The sequence below is a fragment of the Homo sapiens genome, chromosome X (genome assembly GCF_000001405.40).
Source record: "Homo sapiens chromosome X, GRCh38.p14 Primary Assembly".
Taxonomy (NCBI): Eukaryota; Metazoa; Chordata; class Mammalia; order Primates; family Hominidae; genus Homo; species Homo sapiens.
This window is the reverse complement of record NC_000023.11, coordinates 149,198,081-149,210,960: the sequence shown is the minus strand read 5'-3', so window position 1 is coordinate 149,210,960 and position 12,880 is coordinate 149,198,081. Positions and strand designations below refer to the sequence as shown.

At 38.6% G+C, this 12,880-nt stretch overlaps 3 annotated features.

Moving 5' to 3' along the window:
• Positions 11,346-11,665: an enhancer, noted in NCBI's record as "active region_30014". NCBI's record gives its function as "activates an Ori minimal core promoter by ATAC-STARR-seq in GM12878 lymphoblastoid cells {active_cell/tissue: GM12878}" and the evidence as "EXISTENCE:reporter gene assay evidence [ECO:0000049][PMID:35858748]".
• Positions 11,676-11,735: an enhancer, noted in NCBI's record as "active region_30013". NCBI's record gives its function as "activates an Ori minimal core promoter by ATAC-STARR-seq in GM12878 lymphoblastoid cells {active_cell/tissue: GM12878}" and the evidence as "EXISTENCE:reporter gene assay evidence [ECO:0000049][PMID:35858748]".
• Positions 11,766-11,855: an enhancer, noted in NCBI's record as "active region_30012". NCBI's record gives its function as "activates an Ori minimal core promoter by ATAC-STARR-seq in GM12878 lymphoblastoid cells {active_cell/tissue: GM12878}" and the evidence as "EXISTENCE:reporter gene assay evidence [ECO:0000049][PMID:35858748]".

Genomic DNA, 12,880 nt, shown 5'->3' with positions numbered 1-12,880 from the left:
CTGTATTGGTACCCTGGCCCCTTTGGTGGTCTGGTGAATCCTATAGGCCCATATCAGAAAATGGTATTTAAATGAATATAATAAAATAAATGAGGTTACAAAAGACACAAATAATATTGAAATATAGTTATAAAATGTTTTTACAAACAAATTTGTAATACAGTAACATATGTACTCCTTGCTATGAACAAGTACTACAGTTTTAGAGTAGTGAGTATAAATGACATTTTGAGATATGTTCAACTACTCTAATCTAGATATAGATTTGCAAATATCTATAATTTATCTTGATAACATGTCAAAAGTACTGCTAATACTGCTGTGGTTTATTACCTATATTCATTAATTAGGGGAAATTCTAAATCTACTTAGAAGCTGGTGAAATTAACAACATAACTTTTTTCCAATCCAAGTTCACAGTTTGCAGGTCAAGAACCCCTGCTAGAAGAGGACAGGCCCTGAGCCAGGTGGCAGGAGTCTAGGCTGCTAGTTCCCTCCTTTTTCTCTTCTGAGCAGTGTGGTCTTATGGAGGAGAGCTGCTCCCCCAGGGAACATCCCTCCTGTACCTGCAAACTTTCATTCTTGTTCCAGCTCTGCCAATCATTTTCTATGTGACTGAGGTCAAATCACTTATTCAATCTGAGCTTCAGTTTTCTCAATTGTGGAAAGAGATGGGTGGGTTAGATAATTTCTTGAGATCCCTTCCAGTTGTAATATTTTGTAATATTTCTGATTCTATGACACCATTGAAAAATTTCAGTCATACCAATTCTGGGAAAAGCAGATAATCTGGCATTCCGTGGTTTTGTGTTAAAAGCACAGCTTTTCTAGTTACTAACTTGTGATCTTGGGCCAATTGCTTGACCTGCCTCAGCCTTAGTTTCCTTATCCATAAATTGGGTGAAATAATAATATCTACTTCGTGGAGTTAATGTGAAGAAGCATCAACCAGAGAAGGTTTTAGCTGGTTTATGTCTTTCTCATCTGGTCCATAAAGGACTTGAGAGGGCTTGATGATGCATACCCAGTCCAGCATGTGACTCATAGTAGGTCCTCAAAAAACGACTGAGATGATCGTTAGACAGTGATGTCCCATTTTTTTGTTTTAATTAGTTCCTTCAGAGCTGGTGTCATGAATCAGGCTGCCGCTGAGAAGAGGTACCATACATTGGTTCTAATCACCACCGTCCACCTGTGTTAACAGCCTTGTTTTTACAAGTGAAAAACTGAGGCTCCAAAGTTTAAAGATTCACCTCTCTCTCTCTTTCTCTCCCTCTTCATCTCTCCTTCTCACCAGAATAGGCACTCTGGCATTTTCCTTTAGTATCTTAACTTCATGATAAAATGTCAAAGCTAAATTTATTCTCTTCATTTGTGTTAAAAGCATCACAAAGAGTTAATATTTTGGAAAAGCAAAAAATGTAAGTTAGCAGACAGCAAAATTTTGAGCTTCCTCATGGCTTCCTTTTTCAGGTAAAATGTGGAACTGGCTATCAAATGAGATAAATGGTGGCTTGATTCATGAAATTATTATTGAAGACATCACGAAAATTTAGCAATTATTTTTAAAATTAAAAAAAGTGCTCTCTAAGATCATGATAGTTGTTAATGTGCTTCCTCATTTCCAGATCCCGGTGTCAGGAATGCCCATTTGTTTTGTTTTGTTTTGTACAGCATAAAAATTTGAAGAAAATACAAATACCCAATGAGGAAATTTGGATTCAGCTAATGTAATGCCTACCTAGGAAGACCAAAAACCTAAATGTGGTGGGTAATTTTCATATCTTGTTGGTTTTTAAAATCCTCAGGAGCACTCCTTCCATTGCAGAACAGGCTAATTACTAGAGACCTATGGCTAGCCTAGCACTGGGAGCCCGGGGCCAGTTTGCACATTGCCTATCTTCCTAAGTAGATTGCTAAGGTTCACATCTTATAGGTCCTCCTTCACACCCCCTCAGCCCAGGAGAAAGACCCCTCTGACCTTAGACCTTAGGATGACTGTCACCATCACCATTATTGACCATTGCTGGACCATTAGCTGGACCATCCCCATCCTATCTAAGTCCTTCTTTCTCCTAGAAGCATGTAAGTTTACTATTTGGTAGAAAAAAAAATGGCATCTTCTGGGGCTTCTGGGCCTTCAACACAAGAGGAATGTGTTTCATACATATGGCAGCAGGAGAGATTGATAGAAATATGACCTACCACATAAAGTCTGTTTCACTCTTTAAAAAAAATATGGCTAGAGAAGGAGAAGGATTCTGCTCATGAGAACCTTCCCTGTTATGTTCTATTACAGTGGAAACATTGTCTTGGTCAGAGGCCTGTTTCTAAAACATTCCCAGGATTTTACATTTTGAAACCAAAAAAAGGAAAGAAAGTTTTCTGTTATAGTCTGCCAAGGCAAATACAGGGCCAGTCCCCCAGAAACTAGAAATCATAAGATCATGCAGACGGTCTCAAGGGGGTCATCACAGGCCCTGAATGGAAAATGATTGTTCATGCAGAATGTGAGAATATGAAAAGCAAATGTGGTACCTTCCCCCAATGCCTGCCGACCTTGATTGGGATGATTTATTAAAGCATCAGGCAGAGAAAGACAAAATCGCCTTTAAGGACTGGCTAATTTCATGTTTTAGTTGCTGATAAATAAGTTAGTCCTAGATAAATGTACTCATCGCGTGCTACAAAGCTTTCTTCTGTGGAGGAAGAAACACCAGTCCTTGAAAATATTCAGTAGACTTACATGCCAAGTCCACTGTTGCTGTCTGTGTCTGAGTGTCTGAAGTGTCTGTGAAAGTCCCCACAGTGTAAGGCTCCTTTTGAAATGATTTTGAGGAAATCTTGCTTGAGAGGACATGCTCAAGTAGCTGTCATCATCTACATAGGGGCCAGCCAGAAAGGCATCCCTTTTCTGCCACCCAAAGCTATTCAACTAATCCTCATGCCCCCAGCCCCACATCCGCTTGTAAGTCTCTGGCTAAAGTCATTTTCAGAAAGTTTTGCATGGTGGATTGAGAAGGGAAGACTGCAGGACTGCCACGATCGCCTTGTTGATGGGAGTCATTGTTATTCTTGCTTATGACAGGCTTTTTATAATCTACTTCGCTCACCTCAAAAGGCATATTCTTCCTCATCGGGTCTAAAACAGTAATATGTGTCTACTGGGTCAGCCCAATGACTTTCTCAGCCTCTCTTTTTGGACATGAGTACTGTATGAGTCTAGGGTTGCCAGACAATTGTGTAGGTTGTGCACTGTACAGCTCTAGGGGATGCCCCTCACTTAGTAGATGGAAAAGATTTGTATATTTCTTAGAGAAGTTGTCTAACTAAAGTAAGTAAAGTGTCTAGAGGGAGGGGCACTTCTTCTTTTATTTTCACAAAGGCTAACAGCAGCCTTGGGATGGGACATCTTCTGAAATTAAACTGTGTACTCTGAGATTCCCATCTGACTATACAACATTAGAATGAAAAGTGTTTAGCAGAGAAAACAGAGACCCAAGGGGAAGAAGGAACTTGCTTAAGGTTGCACAGCAAGCCAGAGGCAGAGCTGAAGTTAGAACCTTAACCTGTCTTCCTGTCCTTCATCCTTCCCACTGCAGCCATTTTGTACCTCTCACCTGTGCCTATATTGCAGCCATTCTGTTTGGTTGGTATATGCCAGGTAAATGCATATCATAAGTTTGGCCCCAAATGAGCCCATTTCATTCAAGTATTCCAGGATTCAGCCAACATTCTTTCTATATCTTCTGTAATTGGATAAACATTTATACAGTTTTATACTATAAACTATGAAATGCAGGTTTTTCTTAGAAAATTTTCTCCCAGGCTTGGTTCTTACAAAATGAGGATTCCCCAATCATGCAGGCTGTTGTCCTCTGGCAGTTAGCCCATCAACCACAGAACAGCTCTTCTCCTGTGACTTCCGTGCTCAAACATGATATATATATCTCCCCATTGACTATGGGCTAAAGTCCATTTTCTTCAGCTTGGCAAATATGACCCTCTGTGATCTGGCCACTGTCTGCCTTCCATTCTCATCTCACAGCTCAATTACATATCTCTGACAGTGGTCACCCAGCCTGCCCGCTGTCCACCAAACATCTTCCATTCTTTCCTGGTTCCACGACTTTGCTGTAGCTACTCTATTTCCCAGAAACACACTTCCTCACCCTTCTTTGTCTGCTAAAGCATTACTGGACCTCCAAGGCCAAACTCCCATCCTTTCGTCTCCATGGAGTCTTCCTCTTTGACATGACTGCCTGCCCCATTCACTAAGAGCACTCTGCATCTCTCTTGGATTATTCATTATATCTGGATTGTTTGTGTGCCTGTCTATGCTCCTAGCAGCCTAGACAGAGGGCTCAAACAGGGACAGGGACCATGCTGTCTTGTTAACTACTTTTAGAACAAAGCTTTCTACAGACTATGCACTCAGTATATGGTGAATGAACTAAAAGTAATTGGTTCATTTGCTTGCATCTATTTATTATTTTATTCAAAATACTTATCAAGTACCTACTCTATGCCAGACACTAGGGAGTTAGCGAGGACGAAGAAAGATGTAGTACCTGGTTCATTTGAGCTTACAGATTATGCAGAGACAGGAAAGTAAACAGTTACTAAAGAGTGTGGCCAGTGTCACTACAGAATATACACAGAATGCCAAGGAGTGCATAAACATATACTTCCAGGAAAAAGTGACATTTAAATTGAGACTCTAATGATGAATAGGAATTAGCTAGGTGAGGAAAGTGGGAAGGGAGAGTGTTGCAAGCAGAAGGAACAGGATGTAAGAAGGTTTGAAAGTGAAAGAAAGCAAAACTCTTTCAAAGAACTGAGAGAGCAAGCTTTGAACCAGAACAACGGGCAGTCAGAAGACATGAAGCTGGCAAGAGGGAGGGGTCAGAAGATTCAGGGCCTTGTGAGCCATATCATAGAATCAGATTTTGTCCTAAAAGCAAAGGGGAACCTTTGAAGGGTCTTAAGCAGGGAAATGACACTGTCAAATTAGTCTGTGATTGCATCCACTCCCCGTCACCTCTTCCATGTGTCACAGTGGAGGGAGTCTGGCTTTTCCCTGGGTTTATATGATGGTTAGCATCTGTGTCCTCTGGGGCCACTTCCTGTTCCTGAAGTCAGTCACCATCTTTTTTTGTTTGTTTGTTTGTTTTTTCCATTAAAAGGAGAGGCCATTTCTCTCCACTCCACCTAGTCTTTCCTAATGAGGTAGCTTTGAAGGAGCTTCTTCCCCTAGGGTTAGATTCTGATTTCTCTTGCTTTACCTAACTGCCTCTGCTCTCCTAGCCTTTCCTTCCTCCTGAGTGGTGTTTGACTTTGGCCTCTTTTCCTTCTGATCATTTTTCCAACTCTGACCTGCCCCAGACCTGCCTCCTAGCAAGACCTCTCTGATGGCACTAATTTCATGTCCAGACTTTTTGTGACTGGAAGCCTGGGTGGCTTTGCTCTTTGTTCCCACATCAAATTAGATGATTTTAAATAGTAACCTCTTTGGGCAAGGACTTTTGCTTGTGATGCTTGAAAGCTGTGTTTACATCTATTCCGATTCCTAAATAATTGCTCCCAGCAATATGCATAGTAACTCACACAGTCACACTGAGAAATCATTGCCCAGGCCCTACTCTGTCTTTGTTTCCTGTCTTTGCAGGGGCACGAGCACAATTTATGGGTCCTTCAGTACTGTCTTTGTGGCAGAACAGCTCTGGCTCATGAAAGCCTTACTGGCAGCAAGCCTGATGTTGACCATTTACACACTCAGAAGAAAAACTTCTTAAGCCCTTAGAGACTTTGAGTTTAAATGTCCTGTTGATGTTCAAAAACTTACAAACGATTAAAAGATGCTCATTTTGATTATCTATATAGTAAAATTTCACGAATAGATACACTACTCAACAGTGAGGGAAATGATTTAATGCATTTTGGTACATTTGGTACATCCACTTAACATAGCCTACAACCTTAAAAATGATGAGAGTGGTGATATAGCAACAAGCAAGCAAGTCCATGATAAGAGCAAAGGGCAAGTTACGAATTTACGTGTAAAACAATCGCAGCTGGGAAAGTTCTATGTGCTTATGGACAAGAGTGGGAAGAGAATATAAAAGACAAAAGTAATTATAACCAAAGTACCCAGTAAATTACAGTTATGAGGTACTTTTAAGTACATTATTTCATTTAATGCTTACAAAAACCCTGGGTGGTTGGCATTATTGTCATGCTCATTCTGCAGGATGAGCGTGAAGCTTAGTGAAGCTGAGCAGCTTCAGACCACATTGCTAGGGCGTGGCAAAATCAGGACTCAAAAACTGATTGTCTCTGATTATGAGATCCTGTTTGATTCATATAGCTGGTGGGACTGCAGGTACAGTAGTCTGTTTTTGATTTCTATTAATGTTATAATGTTGTTATAAAAAGTAGTGAATGATAAATGTTTAAAAATAACTGGAATATGGAGATTTGGGATACCATTTAGCAAGGAAGTTAATGAGTGTAACTCAGTAAGAATGATTGTGAGAATATCTCGTAATCTTTGTTTTCCCCCTATTTTTTTCCTCATATTTTTCTATAGTGATTAGAAGGATAGGAGAAAGAAAGAAAGAGAAAGAAAGAGAAAGAAAGGAAGAAAGAAAGAAAGAAAGAAAGAGAGAGAAAGAGAGAAAGAAAGAAAGAAGAAAGAAAGAAGGAAGAAACAAGACAGAGGAAAGAAAGAAATGTGCAAGAACTTGTAGTGATTCCTATCCTTATTTACATGTCCCCTTTCCAGATTCACCAGTTTAGCAAGTAGGGATAGCTCTCCCACCTGTCTTCTGGTCCTGTCTTTCAGGTATTTTGCCCATTCTGCATTTTTCCTTTTTCCTAAGACTTATTCTACCCTGATAGCTGTGAGGACTCCACCAACCTCTGTGCTCCTAACACCACCACAGCCATGAAAATACTTTAAGAGTTGGGCCACGTAAGTCCTACAGGTGACTATTTCCAATTTTGGAGTATCTGCATTTTTTGATACAGGGCTTATTAAGTGCCAGGCCACATGCTATAGTATGATATAAGTGTTGTAAAGCTTAATTTCACATGGCTCCTGTCCTGTAAAGGAGCATTAGGGCTGAGAAGTCAGGCTCAAATCCAAGGTCAACACTTCCTGGCAATGTGACTTGCTTCAGGTTATAAGGTGAGATAGAGATAGAGCTAGGCTAAAAAGCACCTCTCACATAAGTGATTTTTAAAAAACTAAAGCTTATCCTTTTTTAAATTTTAAAAGCATATTTACATATAAAACATGTATTTTAATGTAAACCATTCTAAAATTATCTATATGTTAATTTTCCTAAGTAAATACAATACCAAGTAGAAAAGAAGACTTTTTCCCATTTGACTCAGTGACATAGTCCTTTTTGCTCCTGCACTGAATGGCCCCAGATTGTATGGTTCTTCATCATCTCCTTGACTTCCAGCTGCAGTATGGGGTACAGATGCTAACTAAGCACAGAGTCCATGATTCAGATTGTCTTTCATTCAGGACTTAGTTCTGCAACATTATCACTGTGTATCTTTGGGAAATTAATCTCTGTCAGCCTCAAACTGCTCATCCCTTAAAAAGTGCAAGAAGAGAAAGAGAAAGGGGAGGAGAGCATCTTTGAAGAAATAATAGCTGAAAACGTTCTAAATCTGAGGAAGGAAATGAACATCCAAATCCAAGAAGCTCAAAGGACTGCGACTATGATGAACCCAAAGAGATCCACACTGAGACACAATATAATCAAACTGTCAGAAGACAAAGACAAAGAAAGAATCTTTAAAGCAGCAAAAGAAAAGCAACTTGTCATGTGCAAAGAAGCACCAATAAGATTGTCAGTAGATTTCTCAGCAGAAATGTTACAGGCCAGAAGGGATTGGGATGATATATTTAAGGTGCAGAAATTAAAAAAAAAACTTGCCAACCAAAAATACTAAATCTGACAAAAGTATTCTTCAAAATGAGGGAGAAAAAAAGTCCTTTTCAGTTAAACGAAAGCTGAGGGAGGTTCACCATCAGACCTGCCTTATAAGAAATGCTAAAGGGAGTTGTACGAACTGAAACAAGAGGACACTAAACATCAACAAAAAAGCATGCAAAAATATAAAATTCTGTGAAGATAAATAAATAGATCAGTACAGAGTTCTATAATATTGTAATGATGGTACATAAATCACTGTTAATCCAGGTATATAATTTTAAAATATAAGAGCTTAAGCAATAAGGATAATTATAAAACTATGTTAATGAATACAAAATATAAAAAGATATAATTTGTAACATTGATAATGTAAAGTGGAGGGGGAAGGGTAAAGGAATAGACTTTTATATGTAGTTGAAGTTAAATTGTTATTGGTTTAAAATAGATTATTATAATTGTAATATATTTTATGTAATCCCCATGTTAACCAAAAATAAAATATCTACAGGAGCTGGGTTGTCTATACTTATATCAGATAAAATAGACTAAGTCAAAAATTGTAATAACAAACAAAGAAAGACATTATATAATGATAAAAGTGTCAATTCACCAGGAAGATAGAAGAATCACAAATTTGTTCACACCTAACAGCAGAGTAGCCAAATATAAGGAGCAAAGACTGGCAAAACTGATGAGAGAAATAGTAGTAATACAATAATAGTATGAGATTTCAATAGCCCATTTTCAATAACAGATAGAACAAACACACAGAAGATCAATTAGGAAATAGAGGACTTAAACAACACTATAGACCAATTGGACCTAACAGACATATACAAGATGCTTTACTAAACAGCAGAATGCACATTATTTTCAAACAAAGATAGAACATTCTTTAGAATAGATCACATGTTAGGCCACAAAACAAGTTTTAACAAATGTAACAAAATTAAAATTATAACAAAGATGTTTTCTGACCACAATGGAATAAAAGTAGTAATCAATAGAAAAAGGAAAAAAACTGGAAAATTCAAAAATATGTGGAAACTAAACAATACGCTATTGAACAACCAATGGGTCAAAGAAGAAATCACAAGGAAAATAATAAAATATCTTGAGACAAATAAAAATACAACATACAAAAATTTTTATGGAATGCAGTAAAATAAGTAGTGAAAGGAAAATTTATAGTAATAAATGCCTACATTAAAAGAAGAAAGATATCAAATCAACAATCTAACTTCATATTTCAAGGAACTAGAAAAATAAAATGAAACTAAGCCCAGATTTAGTAGAAGGAAGAAAATAATAAATATTAGAGCAGAAATAAATGAAATAGAAAATAGAAAAAGTAAAAATAAAAATAAAAGGACTACGAGTTGTGTTTTTTTTTAAGATCAAAAAAATTTGACAAACTTTTAACTATACCAAGAAAGAAAACAGAAGACTCAAATAACTAATACCAGAAATGAAAGAGGAGGACCAGAAAAATGGCAGGTAGGAGACAGAACTAATGTAAATCTCCCACTTGGATGGACAGAAAAGCATGTGGAAACTCACATTGTGAACTTTTTGCTCCAAGAACAACCACAGGAATATACCAAGAAAAAGGCAAGAATCCACAGACCCTTTGAAAGTAGCAGCTGGCCGCTGCAAACTCCATGAGACAGCCAAAAAACTGTGAGTTCCCAGCATATGAGAGGGGGAAATGTCTGCCTCTGAACACACATCACTAGTGGGGAACCTAAAAAGCTAGATCATGGGAGAAGAATTTAACCTTATCTAGTGCTGAAATGGATTTAGGGAGTTGAACGATGTATGAAAGACGAAGAGGGTAATTACATAATGACAAAAGGATTAGTCTAACAGGAAAATATCACAATCCTAAATATATTTGCACCTAACACTGGAGCTCCCAAATTTATAAAACCATTACTACTAGACCTAAGAAATGAGATAGATGACAACACAATTATAGTGGGGGACTTCAATAATCCACTGACAGCACTAGACATGTCATCAAGACAGAAAGTCAACAAATAAGCTATGGACTTAAGCTATACCCTAGAACAAATGGACTTAACAGATATTTGTAAAATATTCTACCCAACAACTGCAGAATATACATTCTTTTCATCAGTACATGGAACATTCTCTAAGAGAGACCATATGATAGACCACAAATCAAGTCTCAGTAAATTTAAGAAAAACAAAATTATATCAAATACTCTCTCAGACCACAGTGGAGTAAAACTGGAAATTAACTCTAAAAGGAACCCTCAAAACTATACAAATACATGGAAATTAAATAACCTGCTCCTGAGTAATCTTAGGATAAACAATGAAATCAAGATGGAAATTTAAAAATTCCTTGAGCAGAATAATAGTGACACAACCTATCAAAACCTTTGTGATACAGCAAAAGCAGTACTAAGAGGAAAGTTCACAGTATTAAATGCCTACATCAAAAAGTCTGAAAGAACACAAATAGACAATCTAAGGTCGCACCTCAAGGAAGTAGAGAAAAAAGAACAAACCAATCCCAAACCCAACAGAGGAAAATAAATAACAAAGATCAGAGCAGAACTAAATTAAATTGAAACAAAAAATACAAAAGATAAATAAAAGAAAATCTGGTTCTTTGAAAAGATAAACAAAATTAATAGATCATTATTGAGATTAACCAAGAAGAGAAGAGAGAATATCCAAATTAGGTCAATTCGAAACAAAATGAGAGATCTCACAAACGGTACCACAGAAATACAAAAGATCTTTCAAGGCGACTATGAACACCTTTATATGTACAAACTAGAAAACCTAGAGGAGATGAATAAATTCCTGGAGATATACAACCATCCTAGGTTAAACCAGGAAGAAATAAAATCTCTGAACAGACGTATGACTGGTAGCAAGATTGAAACGGTAATAGAAAAAAATTGCCACCAAAAATGTCTATGACCAGGCAGATTCACAGCTGAATTCTGTCAGCCATTCAAAACAGAATTGGTTCCAATACTACTGAAACTATTACAAAAGATAGAGAAAGAGAGAATCCTCCCTAAATCATTCTACGAAACTAGTATTATCCTAATACCCAAACCAGGAAAGGACATAACAACAACAACAAAAAAACTACCTACCAATATCCCTGATTAACATAAATGCAAAAATCCTCCAAAAATTCTAACTGAATCCAACAGCGTATGAAAAAGATAATCCACCATCACCAAGTGGGTTTCATACCAGGGCTGCAGGGTTGGTTTAACATATGCACGTCAATAAATGTGATACACCACATAAACAGAATTAAAAACAAAAGTCAAGGGGCCAAGATGACCTACTAGAAACAGCTGTCATCGGAGGTTCCCACGAAGAGAAGAACAAAATGGCAAGTGAATCCTGCATCGTCAACAGAGGTATCCAGGTTCTCTCATTTGGACTGACTAGGTGGTTGGTGTGACTCATGAAGAGTGAGGAAAAGTAGAGTGGTGTGACGGCCCACCTGGGAGCCACACGGGGCAAGGGGAACTCCCACCCTCAGCCAAGGGAGGCAGTGAGAGATCATGCTACCCTGTCTGGGAAACCACACTTTTCCCACAGATCTGTGCAGCCTACAGATCAGGAGATCCCCCTTGTGAGCCCATGCCACCAGGGCCTCTGATCTCCCTGGGACTGAGTCACTGAGAGAAGGGGCAACCACATTCTCTGTGTATCAGCAGACTTAGTCTTTCCACCTGCTGGCTCCGAGGAATCCAGGCAGTCCAGATGAGTGCGATTCCCCCCAGCACAGTGCTCCCCCTCTGCCAAGGAGTAACCAGAGTGCTTCGTTAAGCAGGTTCTGGATCCTATGCCTCCTGACTGGGTGAGATCTCCCAACAGGGGTCACCAGACACCTTATACGTAGGAGCGCTCCTACTGGCATCAGGTTGGTGCCTCAGTGACAGAGATTCCAGAGGAAGGATCAGGCAGCTGTTGTTACTGTTCTGCAGCCTCCACTGGTGACACCTCCAGGTGTGGGAGGGACCCAGGAAAATAGGGTCTGGAGTGGAACCCCAGCAAACTGCAGCCGATCTATGGAAGAGTGGCCTGACTGTTAAAAACAAACAAACAGAAAGCAACAACGACCACAGCATGAACAGAAAAGTTCCCACAAAAACCCCATCCAAAGGTCATCAGCCTCAAAGATCAAAGCTAGATAAACTCACAAAGATGATAAAGAATCAATGAAAAAACACTGAAAACTTAAAAAGCCAGAGTGCCCCAACTCCTCCAAATGATTGCAACACCTCTCCAGCAAGGGCACAGAACTGGGCAGAGGCTGATATGGATGAGTTGATAGATGTAGGCTTCAGAAGGTGAGTAATAATGAACTTTGCTGAGCTAAAGGAACATGTTCTAACCCAATACAAAGAAGCTAAGAACCATGATAAAACATTACAGGAACTTTTAACCAGAATAACCAGTTAAGAAAGGAAGATAATGACCTGGTGGAGCTGAAAAATGCAGCACAAGAACTTCAAAATGCAACCGCAGGTATCGATAGCTGAATAGACCAAGCAGAGGAAAGAATTTGAGAGCTTGAAGACTATCTTGCTGAAATAAGACAGGTAGACAAGATTAGAGAAAAAATAATGAAAAGGAGTAAAGAAAACCTCCAAGAACTATGGGATTATGTAAAGAAAACTGTACTTGCAACTGATTGGGTACCTGAAAGAGATGGGGAGAATGGAACCAAGTTGGAAAATATACTTCAGGATATCATCCAAGAGAACTTCCCCAACCTAGTAAGGCAGGTCAACATTCAAATTCAGGAAATTCAGATAACTCCAGTTCTCTGAAAGATACTCCATGAGAAGATGAACCCTGAGGCACATAATCATCAAATTCTCCAAAGTTGAAATGAAGGAAAAAAATGTGAAGGGCAG